The following is a 27723-nucleotide window of genomic DNA, read 5'->3' on the forward strand; positions in this document are numbered from 1 at the left end:
TCTGTGGTGGTGGATTGTGGCAGAAAAAAAAAATCATGCATGACTGGGAGACTCGCCTGCCTGATTCTTGAGATAATATATTGAGAATCTGTTGCTTTACAAATGTCACATCACTGATGTAGCGGTCAGCCCCTCACTCTGAAAGATGAATTGTACTATTGGAAATGCGATAATAAGGTTGACTTTTCCCAACAATAGGATTCTGCCTTTGTCTTTAGAGAAAAGGCCTCTGAGGACATTTGTGCATTTGTTTGAGGATTCTGTTGAAAGACTTTAAAGTGGAGGTTTGTGGAAAAGTGATCAATATACAAAATGCATGAATTTTTAGCCTAGCAAAACCAGCTAGTTATTTATACTGTATATACAGCTACTATTTTGGAAAAGTGGCCAGAATACCTTTTAATATACCTAATGTTAATTTATGGTTCAATAAGTGTACTGAGGTTAGTATGGATGGGAGAAAAGGGTTTTTAAAATTTTTATCTTTTATAACCTCCAGAGAAATCTAAGTAAATATTTTGTTCCAAGTGAGCTGTTTTTATTTGTGTTTGTCAGCATTGTCTTAATGTTTACTTTTCACAATATTTTAATATTGGTGAAATTGCACTCAGAGTTTATGTTGTTGATTTGGGGCACACATACCTACTCTGTGTATATATGCTGAACCATTTAGAACACTTTAACCTGTGAATTCACCCTCAGTACACAGTTCAACAGATACTGTAGTACTATTGTGACTCACAGGACATTTTATACATTTGCTAAAGAAATTACTTTAAAAGTTTACTTAACTGAGTATTGTTCCACCTTAAGGAATTATAGTTTTAACATTTGTACTTTTCTATTTCATGTATTTTCATTTCTAATAGCTGAACGTATTCATACTCAAGTCTAATGGATTATGCAGTGTACCCAACACATATTGTTTTATGATGTATCTGTATTTTCTGAAGTGTGAATATATATGTATGTTTATATGTGTGTGTTCATGAAACAGCATCTTGGACAGAATAGTTTTAATCTTGAAAAATGTAAGGTTATTTTCTTTCCTAATAATTTTTCACAAACCCATTTATTCTTGGACTTTGAAACCCAGAAATATAGCTTATTTTTTGGTCTGTATGTCTACTCTGCCTAGTTCTGTCTCACTGTCAACTCTAGTCAAAGATTAAAGATTACATTGAATTTTGTATTTGGTAATATGTGTTACCACTGTGTATTTATTGAAGAACAAATTGATTAAATTATGAGTTAAATAAATAGTGACACATTAGTCTTTTGCATAGGTGTGAAGCATGAACTTCTCAGGTAAGCCACTTAAAAAACCCAAACCAGAACAAAAAATACACTACTGAAGGCTTGGTAGTGTAGAGGTTGTTAAATGTGTAAATAGGCAGACAAACTGTATACCTCACCATACACTTGCTAAATGTCTCTTTGCAAATCTCTTAAGAGGCCAAAGAAAAAAAGACATCCCTTTGAAGGAGAGAAGCAAAATCACTTATTTAGTTAAGCAAAATGAACACTCTGCACAGGTTTTGAAATGAGGCTGTTGTCAAAAGCATGTTTTACCTTTCTCTAAAGGGGTAGGAGAATGTGTTTTAGTGGATTTTTAAAAATTCAGATCATGTTCCTATCCAACTTGAAAAATAAATTCATTTAAGTAAATCATTCATCATCCTCAGTTTTGAAAAGCTCAGACAGAAGGCAGAAAGGTAGAGGCTGACAGCTGCCCCTCCCTTACCCCCACCATTTTTTTTCTTTTTGTTTATTAGGAAATAGTTTTCTGAGACAAACTTGTATGAACCTAGTTCACGGAGCAAGCTTAATCCCCAACTTGCTTGCTTTTGAAATGTTGGCCATGTTAGCTGGAGAAGGAGCATTACTTACTAAAAATCAGCAATATCTGGAAATAATAAAGTTAAATTGTAGATGAATTAGCACATTAAAGTGCTTTTGTTGTACCTTTAAGCCTACAGGCAGATCATTAAATATGCATTTCGCTAGAAAGCAACTGTCTAGAAAGATAAGGTGGTTGAAAATATTCTACGGTGGAAAAGCCCTCCATCAGAGAGGTGGCACGGTTCGGCCCTCAGGATGGGAAAAGAAGGACCCTCCCACTGTTAGTTTAGGTTTGCAAGCCTCCAGTGACCTGCAGTTGTTACAGTACTTTTGAGCTGGGAGGAGGGAAAAGGTAAAAATACAAGTATGGCTGTTGTTGCTTCAGCCGGGCCTTAATTACCAGACACAAGAAGCAGTTCAGAAATCTGGTCTCTGTTGTTGTAGAGGTCACCAAATCATTAACATCGTCAATCTGGCAGTAGCTAATTTAAATAGCACCTGATGTTGCAACGCCTCCCTTCGTTTCCCCAGCCAATCAGATCCAGGCTTCGGCTGACAGATGGTCCCATAAATGGATGTAAAAAGGGGAAGCTTCGAGCCAATTTCAGCAAGGCTCTGTTCAGTTGTTCTTATCTACATCCTAGAATCGGGGGTTTCAGCTCACTGCTCCTTTTCTTTTTTTTCTTTCTCTCCCCCGCCCACCCCCCCAAAAATAATTGATTTGCTTTACAATCATCCACACTGTGTTTTGTGGATCTTTAATTATATATAACAATAGTAGTCATTTTAAATATATATTCTGAAATCTTTGCAAATTTTAACAGAAGAGTCGAAGCTCTGCGAGACCCAATATTTGCCAATAAGAATGGTTATGGTAGGTATGACTAGATTTATAATCTGTTGTTTGTGTTGCTGGAGGGAAGAAAAGCATCTACACCTTGACCAGTCTTATGCTTGCACAAGAGTTTAGTTCTGTGCTGCTGTTTGGTTCCTACATTTACTATCTCTTTTGTGTAGAGAGTGCGGGTAGGTCCTTTTATTGAAAAGCAATGGGGATATAAGATTGTCATTTTTAGCAAGTCGTTGTCAGTTTTCCCTTCAACATAAAGGCAAGGGGTGGAGGGGGAGGGCTGAAATAATTGCTGGTTTATTGAAAGAGGTTATATTACTTGAGACATAATGGCAAAAGAAGGGTTTTCTTTTTTGTAAGGGAGAGGGGGTTTGTCTACGTGCCTGGGTTTTGTGGGGCTGGGGGTGGATGCAGCGGGGTTAGGAATCTCTCAATTTCCGTGCTGGAAATTTAAACCTCGAGAGGCAGCTCCTGGATACTGAACACTGAGATGGGCAGTTGTGTTTCGGGGGACTGCGCAGTCAAAACGGCAAAGAGAGTGATTTATTTGGGCTTCAGTAAATGCTGCATCTTGTATTTCAAAGAGTTTCCTGTCATGACCTCATAAAAAAGAGGAGGCGGCTTGTATGTGTAGCAGTGCCTGGCGTGTTGAGTTGTTGCTTCCTTCTCTGGGCAGCAGCTCTGTAAGAAGGAATGTCAGCTTTTACATAACGTTCCTTTCCGCTTTTGACACACTGTGTGAGGGTCCATCTTCTTCTGATCACAGATGGAGTGGAATGGCTTGAAGATGGTAAGTGAAAAGAGGAAGGCAGCCTGGAGGTCCCAGCCCTGTGTGTGTGTGTGTGTGTGTGTGCTTGTATGTGTGTATGTGTAAGGATGCTGGACTGTGCATCGTAAATCACTGTGCTGATCGTTTGTGTGTGTATGTATGTGTGTGTTTATTAGTATTTCTCTTTTCTGAAAACCAGAATCCATCTCCAAGTGTAATGGCACTGCATGCACACAAGGCACACACACTGCCTCTTCCAGCAAACACACATTTTAGCCAAGGAAGGTTGGTGTCTTTTTTGACAATCAATGTCACCGTCACTGTTGGCTGGCGTGTCCACCGCCTCTGTGAGCCTTCAACGGAATTACACGACTGCTAAAGTTAAAGGCACATTTCTTTTTCAGTCTCATGCTAGGAGTGATGGGGAAGGATGGGAATGAGGGGTGGAGGAGGTGAGATTCAGTACCAGCCGATGCAATTGTGAAACAGGACTTTCGGATGTGGAAGGGGAAGTGGAAAACCTTTCTGCCGAAGTAGTAAATCTATTTTTAGCATCATCTTTTTCTGAAAAAAGAAGCAGGGAAACTCCTTGAGTGCCGCTTCTGTCGCCTGATGTTGACCCTGAAGATATGGCACAAAATGGCATGATTAGATGCCACGAGTGCCCACTTTGACTTTGAATTTTCACCAGCAATAGGTTTCACAAGGTTTCAGAGCTGGGTATGGGGGCAGGCTGTAAATTCATAACCATCTTACTTATTTTTCCCTAGAAAAGCCTGGGGAGGACTTTTTGCTCTGCATAGATGTTATAACAAAGCTGTGGTCTTTTTCCCATTCTTAGAGGATTGCCTTTGTCTGGCTGCTTGTTTTGATGGGTGTAAAACAAATAAGATTAGACCGAGCAGCCCAACTGAAAGCGATAGCTGGGAGGAAAACCCAATGAAAGGTTGCCGGGGAAACGAACAGAGGAGAAGCCGAGTAGGGAGCAGGTGGCTATCATGAGAACACACTGCAAACAGTGTAAAAAAAAAGGGGAGGGGGACAGGACCTCGATTATCTTTGCTGTTCTTTGTGGCCAGCCCAACTTTAATTATTCGTTATTAATAGGTGTTAATTACATTTCTAACTCTGGTTTACAGTGATTTTTAGAAATCTATTTTTAAGCATCTGTTCTGTCTCCCCTGTTTTTGTGTGTGTGTGCGTGTGTGTGTGCGCGTGTGGTTTTTGTTGTTGTTGTTGTTGTTTAAAAAACCCAGAGAGGAGGTGAGGGGGAAGGGAGGGTAGGGAATCTTGCTTTTTTTTTTTTCCTTTTTCCCCCTTTTCCCTGGTGTGAAATTGTACATGCGAAAAATCGCAAGGAATCCTGTGAGACCATTTGAAAAAATGTAAATTATATTGAATGAAGTTGACGGAAGCATAATAGTGAACTCCCACAGCTGATAGGTTCTGCAAATGATTTCTTAGAAATTTCCAGCAAATATTCATAGGAAAAATATAGGTAGAATAGATCTACCCTAAGCAATGATTTGGGGTTAGGTGATTTTGGTATTTTTACTAAATCGGATGTTGATACTATAGTTTCAGGGGAATTCATTGTACCTCTCATTTTTTTCCTCAGTAGAAATTACTTTACAAAATAATAAATGAAGAGCTTTTTGCTTTCCTTCTTTCCCCATGCCCACAGTCACAGGATCCATCAGGCTTGCACTCTCATAACCACTGCCTTCCATTTGGCATTTGGTCCTGATTCTGGTCTTGGCACAAACTGAGTGAAAAGCTGATTTTTATATTAGTGTCTTTGGACGTCTGGGACCCATGTGTGCACTGGGTGACAAGCATCTCTCTTTTTTCTCTAAATGTGCTTTACTAATAGTCTCTTTTTCTCATGATGGTGGGTACCATAAGGATTGAAAGGTGTAGTATTTGGGTGAACAGGAGATAGCGTAAAAACAATTGAAATGGTGATCTGTTAGGGTTTTTTACTAAAGGACAAAATAGATGCATGATCAGGGAGCTAATTGTAAGCCCAAAAATGAGAGATTTAAAAATGCTGAAATACACTAAAAGATTAGGAAATATAATTGGCTTTATTGAAAGTACACTTAATTTTTGCTCTCTTCATTGCAAATCCCCCCAATTCTTTTTTCCTTGCAGATGCGTCTTTTTGTTTTCTCTTCTTATTAGGGGATTTAAAAATTTTATTTTCACTCTTGAGGTAAAAATAAATAAACTTGTATTTTTTGTCATACACTTGAAACTTGCGGCCATATGTTGAGTGCATAAGCCTGTGTCACCTTTAAAAAAATAGAATTTTTTTAAGTCTCCAATATAGTTTCTTTTTTTATTTTCTGAGAATTTTCTGGCAATTTTTAGTTAGGGGAAAATAATTTCTGTAAGAAGTGTCATCTTGGCTTGGGTTGTAAAAAAGACACGTGGTTCTGATGCTGACCTTTCTCGATCCTTTGTCTTAAAAATATTAATGCCTACTACCTTCATGTGGAGTTGTGCTCTTATGGAAGCACAAGGCTGAATGTGCATTTATTAAGAAGTGAAAATCCAATTGGAAATATTTCTGCAAAAAACATCTGACTAAGTAGCAGTTTTAATGATCAGAATGTCCATATATCTCATAGTAACATAACAGCTAAATCATTTAATATTTAAATTTTTGAAAGGGTAAAATTAACATAGATGAGGAAGTAGCTGAAAAATTACTTTGAGAATTGTTGATTTACAAGACAATTTAATATCTCATTTTTTAAAAAGCTAACAAACAACTTAACCATTCATTTGTGATCTCAGTCCCATTCATTTTTACCTGCCATTCATTCAAGTCATTCTCCTGGCCAGATGTAGATGGCCTTGCTTCTGTTTGATGGTTTGCACAAAACCTTAAAACTTTTTCTCTCCCAATACTCCTTCCTTGGTCCTTTGAAAATTAGGGTGTTGTTATGAGAGGAAGGCCAGATTGTTGTGAGATAATAACAATAGAATATTTAGAAAGAGAGAGAGAGAAAGAAAATGAACTGCGCATTTGCCTTTTAGTTCTAAACTTAGTCTTGAAATTGGATTTGGGACACTTTGGACTTCAGATATTTTAAACTTAGGATTTCTATTAGGTATAAGCTATTTGAAATTTCACATCTAGAAATTATTGTTTGAATGGTGCTTTGTATGTGTGTGTTCAATATCTCTAAAAGGACTTGTGGATGAATTGAGATGTTTTTCTCAAGTTAGAGTTACTGTGAACAACAATGGGATTTCCTCAGAGTAAGTCTTTTTTTTTTTGGTTTGATTTCTTCCCTTTACACTTATTTCCTTATTATAGGTGGGTTCTTTTCCTATATGTAGGCCAAATACTATTTCTTCCATGAGGAGATATGCTGCTTCATTTAGCCCTGAGCATCTTAACACCTTATTTTAATTTTTTTAAAAAAAGAAACAAATTGTCTGTATGTACCTCAAGTAAGAAATGGTTGTCTTCATAGAGGTCATCATACATAGACGAAAGTACTTTGGCCTTGACAAATTTCTTCATTAGCTCCAATGATCTGTGGCCACCAGGCAGTTAATTTATATGCCTAGACATTTAATATGTACATTTGTTGGTGAGCTGGCCAGAGGATGCTAAACACACGAGTATGCGCTGGCAAATGCTGCAATGCAGTATTTTTTTCCCAATGTCATTGGGAATTTTGGGGCTAGGAAGGGACATGAACATTTTCAAGCTTTTATCTTACTATTGTCCAGTCGATGGGCCATGTTGTACAGATTTGGTCAATTCTCCTTTTGAAAGTAAAGTCAACCTTTTATTTACCACTATCCATTCCCCCATCCATGTAATGTATATGTGGAAAGTGTGTGTGTGCGAGAAAGAGAAGCAGAGAGACTCTGTGTGTATCAGTATAAGTGTGTTGCAGATTCCTGCACCTGTCTTAGGCTTTCCTTATTTGGTATTACTAAACATGTATACACACTTACTTGCAAGTATATGTGCATCTATAAATGGAGAGAAAACCAAACTGGGCTGCTTCCCATAAGAACTGGTTTCTCTTCATGACTCCAAGAGTTCTCATATTAGAAAAATATGAAATTTCAAATATTCATTAAAAAATATATATTCAGACCCTGCAGTCTGTTAGTAACCAAACACCTTTCTTTAGCTGCCACTTAAGAAATTATAAGTGTGCAAATGCATAACAATGTTTGTGAGCTAAAAGCCATCCCTTCAATCAAGGGCCTGGGTATGAATTAAAATGTGTGTATGTGAGTGTATATGGATATGTGTATATGTATGGGGGGCGGTGGGCAGGATGTTTTTCTTTGAGGGCATTTGAACCTAGTCTTTACCATTGGTAAAAATAAGGAGGCGGTAAGATGGAAGTGTTAACATCTGTGCTTTGCTTTGTAAGTTGGTGTGCAAGTGTGTGTGTATTAGGAACATCCTTATATTTGTGAAATCTCCACGTATTTTAGGGGTAAAGGGCTTTTATAGGTCACTGGCTTTCTAAGGGTAAAAAAAAAAGAAAAGGTGATCTGTGGGTGGGTGGGAGTCACAAGCAGTAATTGTCTTAAATTAGCTATTTAGCAGTGAAAAGGAAAAAAAGGCTGGAAGACAAGAGTGTAGAAGAGTACCAACATGTGGGTCTGCATCTTTCCGGTATAGGAGATAATGAGTGATAAATTTGAACTGGTGCAGTGCAAGATGCCCGATAATTTCTCTGAACCTTGACTTTGCAGGTCCATTACTTCCTTGCTTGCTTGTTCACACCTTTAATTATATCCAGTTTGGGATGCTAGCTGGGGGCACCACAGATAAGCCATTTTGTTTGTTGTTTACTTCATTAAGTATTCAGGCAGTGTATTCACAGTAGCTTTGGAGCATCAGTGTTAGGAATTGAGCAGTTTGGAAATGGAATTGTTAAAAAAGAACAAAAAAATAAGACAGCAATCAGCCAGCTAGCTTGCTTTGGATGTTCACATCCACTCTGCTTAATGGTAATATTTATGCTTTCCCTTGCACATTAATTAAGAAATAACTTACGCAGTGTCAGGGCTCTTAATAGGCTGGTGACTTTCTCTCTCTTTCTCTGTCTCTGTCTCCGTCTCTCTGTCTCTCTCTCTCTCTCTGTCTCTCACTCTAGCTCCAGCTGTCTCTTTCTCTCCACCCCACCCTTGAGACTGTCTTTGCTCAGAACATTTTAAGACCAACCAATTTTGCTTTAGGGGAGCTCATATTCAGATCCTTGTTGTATCTAATACCAAAGGTATTTCTCCCCTCAATAAAGATCCCCCTCTACAAGGATCAAGAAATGCTGAGAGCCCTAAAGGAATCCTTAAATAAATTTTGGTTGAGAAAGCAGTAGAAGTGTTGAGGAAATAAGGTCAGTGTAATTTTTGTGCTTGCGTTTTTGTTTTTTGTTGTTTTTGGAAAGTCTTATTTTTAACCCCAAAAGTAAAATGCAAAACTAGCATATGGGATTTTTTTAATGAAAAAAATATATATGTCTTAGGTCTCTCCTGAAAATAACCTCCCTTGGACTCTTCATTTGAAAAATAACATGTAAACTTTAGCTTAATTTTTGAATTACTCATTTTAAACTATAAAATATAGTTCATAAATATTTTTTCCATAGGAAGTTTAGTTCTTTTTTCAGGCTATGGGGAAGCAGAGAAATGACCCAGCGAAGATGGTGAATTCTGAAAAAAACACAGCATGGAGGTTTCCTCTGTTTGCACTTCGTAGCATTGAATCTTCTCCTGCTTCTATGAGTTATCCTTTAGCCCTTAAAGTTGTTTTGCCAACAGTGTTCATAATAGAGACTGACTGTCATTCCTTGTTGGGTGAAGATGTATTTGTTGAGGACTTACTATGTGCATTTCTTTGGAACGTGGAATCCAAGGTCACCATTTCTTTTTCTTTTGACAATGATCAGAAGACATAATTAATTAGAGGATAAGTCCCTGTGATTGGAGATGAAGTTAGGGTGAGGGATTTTTAAGGTGGCACATTGCACAATGAGGTTTGTGTCAAATAGTAAGAAAAGGTCTGCTGGAACATTCAAGTACATAAATGTCTTTCCTTCTGTATTTATAAGCATCTAGGTGTGACTCCAAAAGATAGAAATAAGAGATCTTTTGGACATTTTAGTCTATAAGGTTTCATGTGTCCACATCTTCAGCCTCAGGAAGAAATATAGAAGTTTGGACTGTTGAAAGGAACTTGTCTTTCAGTCAGCAGCCCATGAAGCTTGGCTGAAACTGGTTAATTTTACAGAAACACGAATGTCTTGCCTCCTTGCTTCTGATGTAAGTGGCTTTTTGAATTCCTTTTCCTCTGTTACCTCCCAGGAGCATCTGAACAGATAGTGACCGTTTTGGCATGCCAAATTGGAAGTTTGCTAGTGGAGCAGAAATCATAGTTACTTTGTCATATACATCTAAATACTGTGGTGTGTGTGTGTGTGTGCGTGTGTGTGTGTGTGTGTGTGTGTGTCATGTGTTGTAGACAGCTGGGAGCCCCGGTGTGCCGTGGGATGTGCCAATAATGGCTTCTAAAGTACTCTGTGTTTTCCTAAGCTGCCAGTCTAAACCCTTTAAAGGTTTGCTTTCTAATTTGTACATGAAAAATAACAGGCTGAGTTGAACTTTTTTTTTCAAGTGCCCCCTTTGAAGATGCAGCAGTAGTAAATACTGCTCTAATGATAAACTTTAGTTCTAAGTGCTACTTAAAAGTCTGTAGTAGAAAGGCTGAGAACTTGCCATCTTTACTAATGAAGCTTTCCTTAGGAAAATGCTCACTTAAAAGGGAGTAAATGACCAAGTCCCTGAAATTTGTGATTTTTACCAGATTTGACTTATCTTTTCTTATTTTACTTTTTGTAATGCAGCCAACCACACATCCAAAATTCTTGGTATTATACATGTCTTCAACATTAATTATCTCTGTTGATGCACTGGGTACAGATAGTACAGTTCCCACAAGTCCAGATTCTTACTGTAACACCAAAACAAAAGTGATATTTATGAATAATATTGGGAAAGTTGTCCTCATAGTAACCATTCCCCAAAGGAAGCTTTACATAAATGTGCACTTATTATTCAGGATATTAAAAGGGAATCGTTAGCTTTTACTTTTTAATTTGGGCTAAAATATGTAAATTGGTTTTATTTTGGAGTTTCTCTGTTTTAGGTGACTTTGGGGGAGGATAACTTTCTAGCTTGATTATATTTTAATCACCTCTCTAGTGGAAAAGTTAATCTTAAAAGCAACCTGCTTATTGTGATTAGGACCCAGAGGGCCTGTGTTCAGATGGGGCTAAAAACATATTATATTGACCTGTACACACGTAGAAAAATTAGATTTATTTCTACTAGATACCGCTATTACCATGCCTTTGTTGGCAAGGCTATCTCAGAGACCAGAGAACCGTGAGTCTGCCTCTGGCCTCCGAGGAACATCACGGTGTGCCTGTACAGGCAAGCCTCTAAAAAGATTGTTCTTTGTCTTAAGAAACTGGCAAGTGCAAAGGACTTCAGAGTCAGTTGAACTTAAGTTGGAATCCTAGCTCTTCCAGTTACTAACTGGGCAATCACAGATGAGTTACTTCAACATGAGCCACAATTCCTCATCTTTAAATGGTGATGACAATATCTAACTCACAGGGTTTCTGCAAGAATCAGATGAGAAACAGTATTTGAAGGCACCAGTCATACATAGGACTTGAAAATTGAAGGTGCTTTGAGGGTGTTAAGTCTCTTTCAGTCTGTCAGTCTTTCTGTCCCTTGGCAAAAGCCCTTCCCCAGAAAGAGGCCCATCTGCCCATGCCAGATGTCCTGGGCAGTGACATTGTATGCTACCCTCACTGTCTCCATACTGTCCCCAGCATGCAAGAAGGGTGGCACACAGTGTTGTTGTTTTTTTCTATATAGACAAGCCCTCAGTTCTTCCTCGGAATTGTATGGCTTTATTAAGTTTTCTGCATCCTCCTAGGATTTCACAAGCTGTATCCATGATCTCCTTTGGAATTAGAATTCACTTGGGATTTAGTTGTCAAAAGAGAAAAACGATGAAGATAAAATTAATTTTAACCAGTGCTGTTTTTTTAATTTCATGAAAGAGCCTGTTAGGAAAGTTAAAAGTCAGCCAGAAAGAAAATAAAAATAGGCTGAGCTTAATTGATATGGTCCCATCTTTGCTGTCTGTATATTGTAACTTGCAAATTATTTGACTTTTTCCCAGAAACCAACTTACTTCAGATCTATTTTTTTTCCTTTTCACTGTATCAGCTGTTTTCCTCCTTTCCCCTTGTTTTCCCAATAGGCTGAACTTTGAAGTTCTGTTTCTCACGGAATGGTGAAGAGGTTGAGGCAAAAAGTGGCTTAATGAGATTTTTGTAACTTGCCATCAGTTTTCCTTCTGCTTGGCAAGGCAGCATGATGGATGGCTTTGGCAGTGTGAACACCTCTAGAAGTGATCAGATTGACTGAAGAGATGTGCAGGATGTCAGCAGAATGCTGACCCTCAATTCATTACCCTCCCATTTGAAGGAAAAAAAAAGAGAGAGAGAGAAAAGAGGAAAACAACCACAAAAGCCTTGGCGTAGTTGTTGATTACACACACTTGGGAAGGGGTAATGGGTCGCGTCAGGACTGGTGTTAGGTTAAACCTAATTTTGTACCTTTTCCCCAAGGGTCTGAAGGGGGAAATAAATAAATAGGCACCATAAATTAATTCACAAATTGTTCTAAATGGGGACCTGTTGCTGTGACCTGTTGCCGTTATGAAGAAATAATACAAATTGTCCTGAAGGGATTCAAGATTCAAATTGAAAACACAATCTTGAAACACCGATTTTGAATTCTACTTCATATGCTTACAGGAAGGATATAAAGGGAAGTCGATTTTTTTCTTCAATGTAATCCTTAAAGTAGGGGAAGGGGTTATTAGTTGATCTGATATCCCAAATGCCATTTTGCAGGTCCTATGCTAAAAAAAGAAAGAGAGAGAGAGAGAGAGAGGGAGGGAGGGAGGGAGGGAGAGAGAGAGAGAGACAGAGAGAAAGAAAGAAAAGAAAGGAAAGAAAGAAAGAAAAAGAAAGAAAGAAAGAAAGAAAGAAAGAAAGAAAGAAAGAAAGAAAGAAAGAAAGAAAAAGAAAAAGATCCTTTGCTATGGAACAGGCAGACAATAAAACTTTTCTCTTTCCATATGAATCTATTTTAAGTCTTCACCAAGAATCTTTGGAGGATTTTGCAGGTGTGTGTCTATACATATTGTATGTGATGTGCAAGCTCTCTGGAAGAATTTGGTTGGTTTTTAGACTGTGTTTGTATGGGCAGAAATATATCTGTAAAAAGCGGGAGGGACTTGATTTTGGAGAAGGGATGGTATAGAAGATGTTTGTCCATATTTTAGCCTTGGAAAATCTCATGCCTATTAATGAAGGACAAAAAAGAAATGATTTACTGATTTGAGCAGGCAAATGAGAAGGTTGGATATTCTTAGGACCTTCTTGCTAGGTAGGTGTTTGTTTATTTAAAAGTTAAAAATTCATCCATATTTAGGTCAATACTTGAATCTCAGTTCCTTCTTTTTTTTAGATTTCTGGCTGAAGTTTTTCATGAGAAGAAAAAAGACTTGGAGCTTAGAACTGCTTTAGTAAGAACTATTAAACAGGTCTCCAGTCATTGAATTTTGGAGGCATGGGCTTGCAGTTGGTATAATCTTAACAGTATTCTTCCTGAACTATCCCATGTCCATTTCCCAAGAACAGAAGAACAAGTTCGCATTCTAGAACTTCAGCTGTTCTCAGCATAGTTCTGCTTGTAACAGATCTGTGACCATAGAGATCATCTTTCATGTTCACTCAGCCTTGTATAATTTTTGCCCTATGGTGTCAGTTTGATCTCTTTAATGTAATTAGGGCAGGTACTGTTAACTCTTTTTTATAGAAAATAAAGCTTAGCCACTTGACTAAGCTTGCACGTTTAGTAATATCAGAAGTCTTCGCTCCAGAGTGTTTGGGAATATGTCCAGCTCAGCCAAAGTTTACTTTTCTTGGGGGAAAAATAAGGTAATTTCTCTTCTATATCAAATTTTTCGTTGGAGAATCAACAAATATATATATATATATATAGCATGTCTGTTGCATATAAACCATATTCTAGATGCATCCTGGAGCATCATAGTATTTAAAATATATTATAGTAAGCAAGGACAATGGCAAGCAGAATGATGTGGACAGTGTCTCAGCAGAGGAGGTACAATGTACAAAAGAGGGAGACATTAGTTCTTGTTGGGGGAAGGAGACAAGCTTCATGGAGGAAATGCCATTTGAGTAGAGCCAGGGAAACTGGATAGATGGAAAAATTAGAAGAAAGGGGAATTCCACATGGAGAGAATCATATGAATAAAGGCATAGAGATGGGAACTTACAAGGCCTACTTAAGAAACTGTAAGTAATCTGGTGTGAATGCAGCATATGTTGTGTAAAGATAAAGCTAGAAAGAGATAGGTAAAAGCTATGATTTAGGAAGGTTCAGTTGTTTTGACTTGGTTTTGACTTTGAATTGGTAGCTATGGAATGTCTTAGGTCAGAGGACTGTCCTTTCTTAATTCTTTTTCAGGGTCAAGACCTGTCTTTATTAAGCCATTATTTCTCAGAAGTTGAAGTCACCCTAAAGATACTTCTAAATTAGACATTGGTTAGGGGAATCAGCATTAGAGCACTCTTCTGGTCATAATGTGATGTTATGATGATGATGCTCATTGGTGAAGTCACATTAAGGACTGCTTTTAGGGTTATAGTGGCAGAAAGCAGTAGGAGGAAAAATATCGACTTTACTTCAGATTGTAAAGAAGTGTGCTATTAGAGGAGTACACTGCATTCTCTCACCAACAGGTCTCCAGTGCTCATTTTGTGGGATAATGTGTGGCCAGAGAGAAGATGGTGGTGAGTGGGGAATATGCTTATTTTCTCCAGTATAAAAATGTACCCACTTCAAACTTGCAAGTACACGTACCAAAGCATGCTTGTCTTGACTGGTCATCTGTTAGCCCTGGAGGGCATAGATCATGTCAAATCCTCTCTTACTTCAATGTCTAATACATAGTAAGTACTCAAAAAAAATGTTTATTGAATTAGGTTGTCATAATATGGCTTTTGTTGGGGGTTTTGTTTTTATCTCTGATTTTTAAAGAGACTGAACTACAGAGTTAGACTTGTGGATCTTGGATCTGTCATCAACTTCTAGGAGCCTATTTAGCCCAACTAACATAACCTTTCTGACCTTCAGTCTCTTAATATGTAAAACAGAATGAATACAACTTCATGGCTTAATGGGAGGATCCATTGAATTGTATCCTTGATACACTCTATTGGACAGGATAATAATATTAGTAAGTTACTAGATTCTAGTTTTACCTATGGATAGTTTATTGGGTCTCGACCGGCATTAAAAATTAAAACAATGGAATGATAGAATTGAATGAAATAGAAAAGAAAGTATCATTGGGTGGTACTTATTAAGGGTTAGTATTATTTCATGAATCTTTGCTTCAGTTACCTATGTTATGAGTTGTGATATGAAGCTGTGGTGTTCCATATGGTGTTCAATATGTTCCTTACTTTTTTATTTTACTTTGTTGGGTCATGGTCAGAAAAGTTTGAGAAATACTGGTCTAGATAATAGTGAGCTCTGTATTATACAAAGGAAAAATAACAGTCAGCTTTTTTAGAACTATGCAATGCAAGATCTCTAGTATCTTCTGAGTTATTAAAGAAAGGATGACTTCTAGTTGTTTTAGATTTAATATGAAGCATCATATCCTACATCTTTGATAACTACTGATGTCTGCATGATATATGTTGGGGCTCTTTATTAACCAAAGTATTTATTAACTAGGAAACCTTATGCCTTGGTTGTGCTACATAGCAAAACCTGGAATGTAATAATAAAAGTGACAATAATCAGTAGTGAATGTGACCTAGAGGTGGGACTAGAAATAATAAGATTAGTTTTCATTTCTTGAGCTCTTGATATGAGTCAGACACTGTGCCTTACAAACACCATCCCTTTTAATCCTTAGAACAAACTTAAAAGGTAAATGTTAATTTCTCTATTTTATGGACAAGCTAACTGAGGTTTTGGTGGGTAAATTACAGCCAGTAATTGGTTGGGCCAGGATTTGATTTGAACCCAGATTTGTCTGACTCCAGAATAAAATTTCAAAAATTTATTCAGTTCCATGAAAATGTATTAAAGTGCCTACTATGTGTTAGCTCTGTACTCCTCTACAAAGATAAGTCAGTCTCTGTCCTTGAGGCTTTACTAGCTGCCCTTTGTATTTTACTATGTAAGAAGATGAATAAGGATTTATTTTATCACAGCAGGAGATAGGACAGGCACATAGAGTACTGTATATTTTACTTCAGAAGTGTTAAGAAAAGTGCCTGACACACAGTAGGCATTCACTAAAGATTTATTACATTGAATTGAAGTTGGATTAATTCTCCTCTAGGGATTAGGGAACCTTTGTACTAAAGAAACACTGTACATTTTTATATGTTTAGCTGTATATGCCTAGTGGCATGGGTATTCTTACCTGCAATGTGGGCAGATCCATCTGTCCCAAATCCATTCAGTGCCTTTTGGAGCTCCTAAAACTGGCAGCACAGAAAAGCCAACAAGAGCTCAAGAACTCAAATTGTAAACTTCAAGTTTCATTCAGCCAGAGAGAACATTTTCCATCTTAGTGTGAAAAGCAAATCCCATGGCAGAGACATTTGGAGAATGATAAATGGAAGGTGGGCTTCCTTAGAATGGAAAATTGTTATTATCATTGTTAATGTTATTTTTACAATGCCATTTACTAGCTTTATAAATTCAAGCAAGTTATATTACCTCTCTAAGCCTCAGTTTCCACATTTTTAAAAGGATTAATACCACTCAGGATTGTTAGGATTAAATAGACCCATTTGATAAAAACTTACTGAGACTTACTATTTGGTAGTCTGTAAATATGTAGTAGTAAAGGAGACATGGCCCCCCGTCCTCAAAGAGCTGAATATCTGGTGAATGTGCTGTGAGAAGTGGGATTCAGACTCCCACCACCTGCACAGGTCACTATTGATAGGATGCAGCACTCTACAGTCCTCCTTGGGGTATGTATATATTGTCATATACATGTCTCAATTGCATCATCAGAATTTCAAGTTTATTGAGGGTGAGTGAGCTCAAATATTCATCTGTTTATCTCCACCTACCCCTAAGTTTCATCCTTGCCTGTTGACACAATGTTACCTTATACAGTAGTTGCTAGATGAATCCAGCCCAATTCAGCAAATATTTACCAAGTGGCTCAGGGTACAGTGCTGGGAAAGGGAGGGTAACATTTGCTGAACAGAGTTGAATTTAAAACAACTTTAGAGCATAAAAGGGGAACAGTGTCATGAAGTGGTGATATACTACACTAGTGCTAAAAATACCTGTGATCTACTCAGGAAGAAATTAGGGCTCTAAAGAAAATTCGGCAGTAAGCCTAAAAATAATGTATTTTTTCACTCTCCCAGTGCTGTTTTGTTTGTGTTTCATGGAGAAACAGTGTATTTGCTATAAGCACACAATTAAGATGAGATTTCAGAGATGGCTACTTAATTCATCTGTGGCTCAGGACCAAGTCTAGGTAGCTTCACAAAACCCAGGAGCCCCTCTGTGGCCAGACTCCTCTCCTTTCCAGCCTCCCATCTTGGGTCTCTTTGCCTTCTGTTCATGCTCCACTGTAGAACTGCACCACGGTGTTCCCTACTGTTGCTCACACAGATCCCTCGGTCTCCAACATCTTTCTGCTTTCTTCACCTGGCTTCATGAGACAAATAGGAGGCCTGTGTCACCCAGAAAGGCTTGCCTTAACTCACTGTGGGTTGTAGCCATCTCTGTTAACACTGCCAGCATCATTCCATCATTGGTCTTCCACACTCCATAATCAAATGTTTATTTTTCTAGGTTTCACCACTGCCTCAACAATCAGCACTGAGTTTATCTTTATGCTTGGCACCAAGTAGGTGCTCAGTAATTGATTGTTAACTGATGTAGTCAGATATTAATTAGGTGTTTCATAATGTGTTCCCATCAGGTGCCCCCTAGCTTATGAGTGGGATATTGGACCCAAATCCCCCTTGTTGTGAAGACTGGTTTTGACACAGCTATTGCTCACCAACCCCAGTTCTGTAACTTTGAGCTGAAGATCTTGAGTATATCTATTTACATTAAACTTTTTCCCTGATCACCATGACTCACCTGTAATTCCTCAGTAATTCTTCTTTCCTCTAGACTCCTTTATGTCACTTGCTGTCTGTACCACGCAGTTAACAATGACACATCACAATAATAGTGACCCTTTATGTAATGTGTGTGTCAGACTTTGCAGAAAGAACTTTACTTAGGTTATCTCATTAAATCTCACAACGATTCTAAGAAACAGATATTTTTATTCCCATTTTGAAGAAAGAGGACAACGTAGTTTAAGTAACTTGTACAAGGTTACATGGCTAGGAAAATATCAGACTGGGAATTTAAAACCTAGTTTGTTTCATTCCAAAGCCCATGTTCTGTCTCCTATTTTATCTTACTCATCCCTTAAAAGGTAGGAATTAATGAGAAACATTTAGCCTAGTGGTTATTAATAGGGATATTTTTGAGATAGGGTCTCACTCTGTCACCCAGACTGCAGTGCAGTGGTGCAATCACAGCTCACTGCAGCTTCAACTTCCCAAGGAAATAGAGACTTTTGATCAAGACTACCTGGATTCAAATCCTGGCTTTATCAGTTGTGACCTAGGGGAAATCATTTCCACTCCCTATGCCTCAACATTTTCATCTGTAAACTAGGGTTGTTGTGAGGATGTGATGGACCAATGAATATTAAGGATTTAAAACAGTTACTTGGCATATAAAGTGATAATGATCATCATCATTATTGTTATCATACAATATTAATTTGTGTCCCATTCTTCAAATTTTTGTTGAGTGCCTGCCAGACACTGTTCTAGGTAATGGTGATAGCAGTGACTAAGACAAGTCCTTGCCTTTATGGAGCTTTCATTTTAGAGGAAGAAGACAGAGAATAGAGTAAGTAAGTAGTAAGTAGAACATGGCATAGTAGTGTGTGCCTGTAGTCCTAGCTACCCAGGAGGCTGAGGTAGGAGGATCACTTGAGCCCGGGAGTTTGAGGCTGCAGTAAGCTGTGATCACACCACTGCACTCCAGCTTAGGTGGCAGAGACTCTGTATCTTTATTTAAAAAAAAAAAATAAAAGTAGATATTATATATTATGTCGTGTTTTATAATTTCACATAGTGAAATGATGTTTAAAAAATAAAAGATGCTAGATTAGAGAGTTACACTAACGAGTCCTTGTTTGTGGCACACAGTGAGGCCACAATAGTTCAGCCAGTGCCTTGCTTCTGCTTGATGAGCTGGAACCGTCAATGCCCTACTCTGAAAGGCTGAGCTTCATATGTCCAACTACTAACTCTTGGAGACAGGCTTGCCTGACCTGCATGTGGTGTAAGGTGGTCATCTGTGGAATGATTGGACAATTGGACTGAGGTGTCTGAGCCTCAGGAAAACTTAAGATAGAGAACTCATAAAGAGGCCAGGGGTCCCAGCCTTTGAAGAGAGGTCCTATTCTGTGAAATGGGACAAATGTTCCAGGAGGGTCAGGAGGAGGATTTGGCCAATCATTCAACTAAGAACAGGGTCAGCCAGAATGTCTTCTCAATTAAGGCTGTTAAGATCTCCTGATGGCTCCTTGCAGGAGCCTGAACCTAGAAGGTGAGTTAGCCTTGGCATTATCATAGGATTCTACCTTTCCATGAGTGTTCTGCTGGTTAAGGGCATCTTAGGAGTCTGCAAAATGGGGTGTTTTTTTCCTTCACTTACTTGTAGTGGGGTCTTGGTAAAGTCATTAGCCTGTCTGAGCCTCAGTTTCCTTATCTGTAAAATTGGGCTAATAATACCTTCCTCCAAAGCTTGTTTAGAAGATGAACTAATTAACATGTGTAAAGAACCTGAATCGGGGCCCGGCACCTAGTAGGCATCTAATAAAGGAAGATTTTTAAAATAAGCTCAGTCCCCCTAGGGTGTGCATTTTAGGTATTGGTAATTTATTTTGGGGCTCACAGGGAGAGAAGAGAAAAATGAGAGCTACTTCCCATTCTATAACTTTCAAAAAAGTGAGCAGATAATCTCAAAACCAAAGATATGTCATCTCAGAAAGGACTGTGAAGAAAATAAAATTAGATTTGCTGTAAATCAGTATGATTGAGACTGGTCTCTGTCAAAGACTGTGTTGGCCCCATCCTCTTGGTGTCACAGGCTTTTAGAGGCCTGGGGCTCTGTGAAGAAAAGCACTTGGTTAAAATGGCTCTGGAGTCTTAAATCCTGAGTCCAATTCTTTCTAGTAATAAGTTAGAGTATTTACTTTTTAGTGGGGGATGAAGGGGATGGATGATTTGGTTATTTTCATATGTCAAAAATTTCAAGGAAGGACTCCTGTGCTAACTGGAATTATACATAAACCTAATTGATGCTCTGGTGAGAGCAACTGGAAAGCACTAGTTTTAGAATGTAGACATAAACCTTTATGTATTGTATCTCCTGTCTCCATTGTGTATACTGTTACATAAAATTAAAGATTAAAATTAAACTTTTAAATTTCACTGATTAAAATCAATTTACCTGATTAAAATTAAGATTGAAGAGAAAGAGAGAAAAAAGCACAGTTTATTCTCATCCCAAACCTCCTTTGTTTTCATTAGCAATGTGTAGACCTGAAATTACCTTAAAAACAAAACAAAACTCCCCCATGAAACACATTTAAGAATAAAAGAATGATTTTCCAAATATTTGTCAATGCACTTTTTGTACAGGGCACTGAATGAAACTTTAAATATTTTTTTCCTCTTATGGTTAGTGACATGTTAGTATTGTGATTCACTCAGAATTTATTTGACCCCCTTGATCACTAGTTCACATTTGTTTTAATCTTGATGGCTACACTCATCTAAAATAAACAGAGCAGGAAGAGTAAGAGAACGCTTAAAAAAAAAGCATTTTAAAATAAAGAGTCACCCATTCCTCTTACGATTATCTCAGCATGCTGAGAAAGAAGCCTGATGGGTTGGAGATAAGGATGTCTCCTCCTATGTCCCCGTGTGCTCTGCCTCTAAACTCTCCTAGCACCCTGCACCTGCCTCTGATAGCTGATCCATTCAGTGGGCATTGGTTGAATTCCCCATGTACTGCCTGCTGGGAGTAAGAAGTCAACCAAAATTCAGGCCTTATTTTCAAGGCATTCCCTGTCAGTGGGGAGACAGGCAGGTAAAAAGCGACTCAATATAGGGTGGTAAGTACCAGGACAGAGGAGAGAGAGGAGTTGTCTGAAGCTATGTAGGTCAGGGAGGTGGACTCCAGGGAGTCTTGCAAAATGGCAGGGTAATTTAGATGGTGATGGCGAAAGCATTTCAGTGGACATATATGCAAAGACATGGAAGGGACATACTGCCAAAGGCATTCAGATTATGGTACTTGGCTCACTGCATCTGGAACTTTGTTTTCAAATGTCTACTAACCTTCCAAGACTAAATTCCTAGAGGGCAGTGATCAAGTGCCATGGAACTCAGTTATCCAACAGTAATAGATTTAATCTTTGCCACATTCCTGTGAACCACATTTCTGTGAAGCCTATAACATTATCCTATTGATATGCCCCAAGTTACATTTGGAAAACCGAGACACAGAATGGTTAAGTGACTTGTCCAAGGTCACACAGCTAAACAGGAATTTAAACCTGGGCAGTCAAGCTCTAGTGACTGTTTTCTTAACTATTATGCTATGCAATTAGTATTTAATAAATGTTTGAATTGATGTTAATTGAATGGATGTAGAAGTGATTATGTGATAATTTATTTATTCACTTATTTAAAAGAAATAACATGCCAGGCGTGCCCAGATCTAATAGTTGTTGCAGGAAAATGTCAAGAGCCCCCATTGGCTTTGGCTTTGGCTTTGGCTTTGTGACTTACAGAAACTCTTAAAGGTAGAAATGTTCTGCAGGGCTGTGAACCTCAAGATGGTACTTCAGATTTCAGCCAAATTCAGACTCAACGTGGAAATAAAATATGAGTTTAGGCCTGAAACAGAGGAGATCTAATTTCCTATGTGGAGATGAAGAAACAAAGGCTGTAAACATGGCCTTACTTGGAAAATGGAAGGCCCTAGGTTTTGAAAACAGCCTCTTGGGATAGTTTGAAGGAAGTTGAGTGAGACAACAATGATGAGGGCAATATAGCTTTAAAAGAATGAATTCACTCTTACTTTTGCATTGATTCTGAAGAGGAGAGATAAGCGAGGTTTATGGTGAGAGCAAAGTGGTGATGAACAGGCAAGGGAAGCAGATTTGGCTATAGAAAGCAGGTGAGGACCTAGAGAGTCATCCATTTATTCATTTATTCTACCAGCAAAATCATGAGCTCTGCGCTGTTCCCTGGGATTACAAATGAATCAAACACAGTCGCAGTCCTCAAGGAGCTCACAGTCCAGTGATAGAGAAAGATAGGAGGCTGGAGAGTTTCAATGCTATGTGGCACATGTCCGTAATGGAAATGTGTGTGAGAGACAAAGGTAAGAGCCATGATGGGGGATTGGAGAAGGGGCATGCTAGGTCTGATGGCAGAGAGAGGAGGGCTTTCCAGGCCAAGGGAGTGCTTATGTGCAGAGTGTGGCACAGGAGAGAACACAGTGTGTTCTGGTTTGTCATTGCTGGCTGCAGAAGCCTACAGAAGGCTGTGGCCTGGAATGTGCATTCCAGGGCTTATGGAACTTGTAGTGGGTAAAGAAGGAAGATGGGAGTCAGTGACCAGAAGATGTCAGTTCAGATCCAGGCTCTGCACCATGTGAATATTGGCTAGTTAGCTTTACCTTTCATTTGCTCCTTAACCCTTAGTTTGCTCACCTGTAAACTGCAAGTGATGGCAAGGGAAGACACCACCTATCTCTCAGGATCTTCAGGAAAATTAAGTGGGGTGGTGAGTGTGAACGTACTTACAAAATCCTCTGAGTCCAGCATGTAATTTAATTATTATAAATTATTATAAAAAATTATTTTATTATTTTGTAAGTGAGGGTTTTGTAAGGGCTTTGTAAGAGTCTCATTTCTTCAGGGGGAATGACACTTGCTCTGTTATCTCTACACTTCCCACCACACCTTTCTGACTGTGCCCTGGAAAAATCCTCTGGAAGTGCATTCTGTCAGTTTAGCTGCTTATTGGGGTATACAGTAAGAAAGGAGCAGTCCAAGTGGAGGATGGACCAAGAACAACCCTGCTCTTCCACCCTGAGTTTCCTTGTGGGGAGCCGGAAAAGCCCTCTGCTGTCAGTATGCAGAGTGCACTGTGGCAGTGATCTGAAATTTCCCAGGAAAACATGATGGTTTTCCTTGTAGGAAAGCAGAAACCCTAATGACTCTTATTAACATTTGAAGTACCTCACTTGGGCCATTCACAGTGGATGGCTTTTTGAAAGGGCAAAAGATACCAGAAATTGTGTTTGTAAGTGTCAAACATGCTACTTTCATTATTTCTTTTTTTAGAATCCACATAGCCCCTCCCCCTTTGCTATGTGTTTACTGGTTTGGCATTATTGTGAGAGCTTATTAGTGGATGTTTGTGGAGCATTGTGAAGATGAATAGCTATTGGCATAGGTGATGAGTAGTAATGTTTTTAAGTATACTTTTCTATTTCAGAAATTAAATTCCAAGGATAAATCTTACCAGCTCTTAGATTAGTCAACTTTGCCACCTGCAGCACATTTTAATGGGCACATATTTCAGAATGTTACCTTTTGGACAAGGAAAATGAACATGTACTGAGTGCTTACTGTGTACTGAGCTCTGAACCAGGTGCCTTCAGATTTGTTGTTTTTCTCACAGCAACCCTGCAAGACAGATAGAATTGTTCACATTTTTCAAATGAGTAAACTTAAATTGCACTGCAGAGAGTCTGAACTGGCTAAACCAAGGTCAAGGCTGGTGGTGGATTTCCAACCCAAGTCGGATCACCTCCAAATCTCATGCTTTTTCCATTATACCATGTAGAATTTTGAATTTTGAATTATGGTCTTTCCTGTAACACCCATTTATTGGGCAGTATTTACTGACTAATAAACAGCAGATACACAGGCTAGTTGATTTTAATAGGGTTAGATAATTTACATTCTCTAAGATTACTAGGTTGCATTTCATAGTGATAGGAAAAGTCCTCAGACTTAGAGATTGAAGAAAGGGCACAAATTTGGTTTCAGCCTTGGGTTCAAGTTACAGTCCTAGTTAAGTGACAGTGGACTCTGCCTGAAGACTCATTACTCCATCATGTGTAGAGTGACAGCACTTCTACATCTGTAAATGAGAGGAATGACAATACCCACTTCTCAAAGTTGTGTGAGAATTAAGTGAAGTGATGTATGTAAAGACACCTCTCACCATTTCTTATTAGTACCATTGGAAGGACTTAATGATAATTACTTGCCTAAATATTTTCCTGTGTAACTCAAAGCACTTTTTAATCAGCATTATAACAGGATTTCCCTTTACTGAGTGTTTGTCATATTCCAGGCACTTTGTATGTACTTTTTCCATTACTACACTTATGACATTAGACAGTAATTTCTTATTTACTTATTTATTTACTTCCTTGCAGGCAGGAACTCTTTCTCTCTCCTTCATATCTCTGGCATTCAACATAATGGTTTCTGGCCCATCGAAGGAACTCATTAATGTTAGGAAACTTAGCTTGGCTTTTGTTCCTTCTTTTGAGAGCTAACTTCAGTTTGGGGGAGGGGCTGCTCCAATGAAGTACTAAATTAACATCATTAAATTGTGTCTCATAACTTGCCCTCAAATATATACCTGTAACTAAAGAAATTTTAGATTGCTCTAATTGACAATGGATGATTCTGAATATGTGTTAACATTTTACTTTTTAAAAAAGGTAAATTTCTGGGATAAAAAGAATATATTAAGAGTTGCAAGAGTTTACCAAACAAATTTTCTTTGTATCTGTGATTCAAAGGACAAGCTTACCCTACTCAGAAAAGTAATGTTTTAGTTTCAAAATACATGTATTATATCCATTTGATAAATATACATGATAATATACATGTATCATATACTAAATATTCTTAGGGACATAGTAAATTAATTCTAAAAGGGTCTTATCTGAGAATTGTAGATTATGCAGCTTGAATTATAATACAAATGTAATTTTTGAAATTTTATCATGTCTTTTTTATAATTTAAAAGTTTTATTTTTGATTTTTAAAAATGCCAACTTGACTTTTGCCCAATTAGTGAGTGTGACCTTTCAAAAGCATATTTTGAAAAGGCAAAAGATTGTGAAGACAGAAATACTAACTTATTTATTCTCTTATAATCTAAAATTCTATTTTTATGTGGCAAATCATAAAAATACATACAGTAGGAGTTTTTTTAAAAAAATAGAACAATGGGCCGAGTGCGGTGACTCACACCTGTAATCCCAGCACTTTGGGAGGCCGAGGAGGGCTGATCACAAGGTCAAGACATTGAGACCATCCTAGCCAACATGGTGAAAACCTGTCTCTACTAAAAATACAAAAAAATTAGCTGGGCTTGGTGGCGCATGCCTGTAGTCCCAGTTACTCAGGAGGCTGAGGCAGGAGAATCACTTGAACCTAGGAGGCGGAGGTTTCAGTGAGCAGAGATCACAGCACTGCACTCCAGCCTGGGGACAGAGCAAGACTCTGTCTCAAAACAAACAAACAAACAAATAGAACAATGAAGAAAGTGAAATTAAGGGAAACTAAGAGGATTTTAAAAAGATAAATTCAGAAGTAAAATTTATGTTTAAAAAAAAAAAAAAAACCAGAAGTTTGCAGTGAGGTCCCATGCTCTTTACACACAGAAAACTATAGATTTGGCACCCATTTTCCTAATATTGAAAACAAAAGCAAACCCATCATGCAGAGGACAGAGAATATTAGTGGTTTAATGTCATAAAAAGTGCTTGCCTCAGAGCAGACGTAAGTATTCCGATACTTGTGATTTCTGGATTTTGTTTGTTTTTTTCCATTTCTACTTTGCTTGCTTCTTGTTCATGATATTTTTAATCGATACGTATTAGAAGGATGTTCAAATGCAAGAAAGAGAGAGAGAAGCTTAAAAAGCGTGGTATGGAATGCCACTTGACAGTGTCATACATTCACAAGATGTCCTTGAAGATGGAGCACAGAACAGAGATCAGGGAAATTTTGTCAGCTGCAGTTGGGAAAATAAATGGCTGTTGTGTGATTGGGCAGATCCTGAAAGCAGACTCCTGCTCAAACCATGTAATTAACAAAAGTGGGAGCTTTTGTCCAAGTGCAAAATGTTCATAATATCAGAGTTTGTCAGCAGGAGCTTTTAGAACGGATCAGTACTTTTCACTCCCTGATCCAGGGAATGGTTTTCTTATAAATCATCTTCTCTCCTTGCTGTCCTCATGAAGGTTGCTGCCGGGCGATAGGCAGACTTAAGATTGTAACCTTGCTAATTCACAGTGATTTAGGTGAAGGGGAGACTGAACCAGAGACTGTTTCTAGAAATGTGATTTTTATTCATTTGGGCTCCCATGAGTACTCTAATGTAGGAACAAACAGAGTGTGTCCAAGGAGAGATCCTACAGGATAGCTCTGGGGAGGAGACAGAATCATTTTTAATACTGTGACTCCAAACTGGTTTGAAGGACTTGACATTTTCTTTCTTTTTTAAAAAACAACTTCCTTTCAGATTATAAAACTGCTGTATTCTCACTGTAAAAACAAAACAGAGTTGACAAATAAAGATGGAGAAAAGTGTAACAATCACCTGTAATTCTGCCATTTATTCTAGTGTTTTTTATTTTTCCCTCCTACTCTGTACTTGTTTATATAATTGAGATAATCAATCTTTTATTTCACTTCTTTTTCTACATTGATCATATACATTTTCTCACATTATAAAAACCCATTATAAACATAACTTTAGCAATTGCAGAATACTGTATCAAAAAACTGCACAATGAGTTATTTAGCCATCCCCCTTGTTAGACTCCTGGGCTGTTTCCGTTTTTCTCACTCCTCTTAATATAACTCATTGTATGTACTTCTGGTCTGCAGAATTTTGGATTCTTTTCTGAGTTTCAGAATGGACCAGTGGGTCCAAGAATATGAACATAAGAAGAGATGTGCCAATTTATCCTTATACCCATAATTATGAGAAAGACTATTTCACTGCATCTTAGAACTTGACAGTTGCAAACCTTAAATTTCTAGTTTCCATGTAAACATGTTGCCCACAAATAATTCAAAGGCACACTTCTCCTCACCCAGGCCTGAATTCTCACCAACATTGATTTGGTGGAGTCCAGTTTTACTCCTGCCTCCACTACCTTCCCAGGGAATGTTTAGGGGCAATGGTATCCAACTGGCCCTCAGAGGAAGTTTGAGGGATAAAGTTCTCCTATCAAGTCAAAATGTTCTTTTTTTCTAACATTTATCTCTTATAAAAAGAAAGAAAGAGAGAGAGAAAGAAAGAAAGAAAGAAAAGAAAGAAAGAAAGAAAGAAAGAAAGAAAGAAAGAAAGAAAGAAAGAAAGAGAAAGAAAGAAAGAAAGAAAGAAGCAGTGAAGGGAGAAATTAACAATAAACTTTCAAGTGTGATAAAGTAATTTTCAGATTTAAAACTACTCTATCAGAATAACATTCAGGATCTTTTCATGAATGAACATGTAGCTATATGAGGCTATATGAATTGTCCATGAGTATAATTTATCACGGCCAGTTATATATGCATTGAGGTGCTAAGAACCATTTTATTTCACTTATTATCTTCACCTTCAGAATGACTTAATTTTTTGAATTGCACAATTAGAAGAGCCATTGACCTTACACAATTTCTCTTAAAAAGAACAAGACTTCTACACAGATTTTTCTAGACACAAACTCCCTCTACTCCCTTTTACTCCTCCCCTCTTCCTCACCCTGGTTATGTTAAGAAAACAAGTGTTAATTTTCAAAATAAAATATATTTCTATGTAGATTTCTGAAGAATTTAATCTGAGTGTGCATAAAACTTAATTTCAGAGATGTGACCTAATGCTTTAGATCATGATACATATGTGGAATAGCACATTGCTGTTTACAAGTAAAC

At 37.9% G+C, this 27723-nt stretch overlaps 1 protein-coding gene across 29 annotated transcripts in view, besides 1 other annotated feature; it reads left to right on the forward strand.

Annotated features, from left to right (window-relative positions):
• Positions 1-27723, forward strand: part of ELAVL4 (ELAV like RNA binding protein 4) — a 155718-nt gene that overhangs the window by 58428 nt on the left and 69567 nt on the right. For 7 of the 29 annotated variants that reach the window (XM_011540895.4, NM_001324212.2, NM_001324209.2 and 4 more), the window contains exon 1: positions 2438-2716. The exons of 13 other annotated variants lie outside the window; for them this stretch is intronic. Coding sequence is in view for 10 of the 16 variants with exons in the window: in NM_021952.5 (NP_068771.2) it covers positions 2708-2716 (9 nt within the window). In the remaining 6 variants the exon portion in view is untranslated. Of the gene's footprint in view, positions 1-2437; positions 2717-3350; positions 3483-13303; positions 13535-14268; positions 14414-27723 lie in introns of those variants that run through there. 9 more of the 29 variants (NR_136725.2, XM_011540894.3, NM_001324214.2 and 6 more) reach the window with 3 other exon arrangements.
• Positions 4481-4661: an enhancer, noted in NCBI's record as "heart enhancer 18". NCBI's record gives its function as "activates a minimal c-fos promoter by transgenic reporter assays in zebrafish embryonic heart {active_cell/tissue: heart(embryonic)}" and the evidence as "EXISTENCE:transgenic organism evidence [ECO:0001131][PMID:20075146]".

The sequence above is a fragment of the Homo sapiens genome, chromosome 1 (assembly GCF_000001405.40).
Source record: "Homo sapiens chromosome 1, GRCh38.p14 Primary Assembly".
NCBI classification, from domain to species: domain Eukaryota; kingdom Metazoa; phylum Chordata; class Mammalia; order Primates; family Hominidae; genus Homo; species Homo sapiens.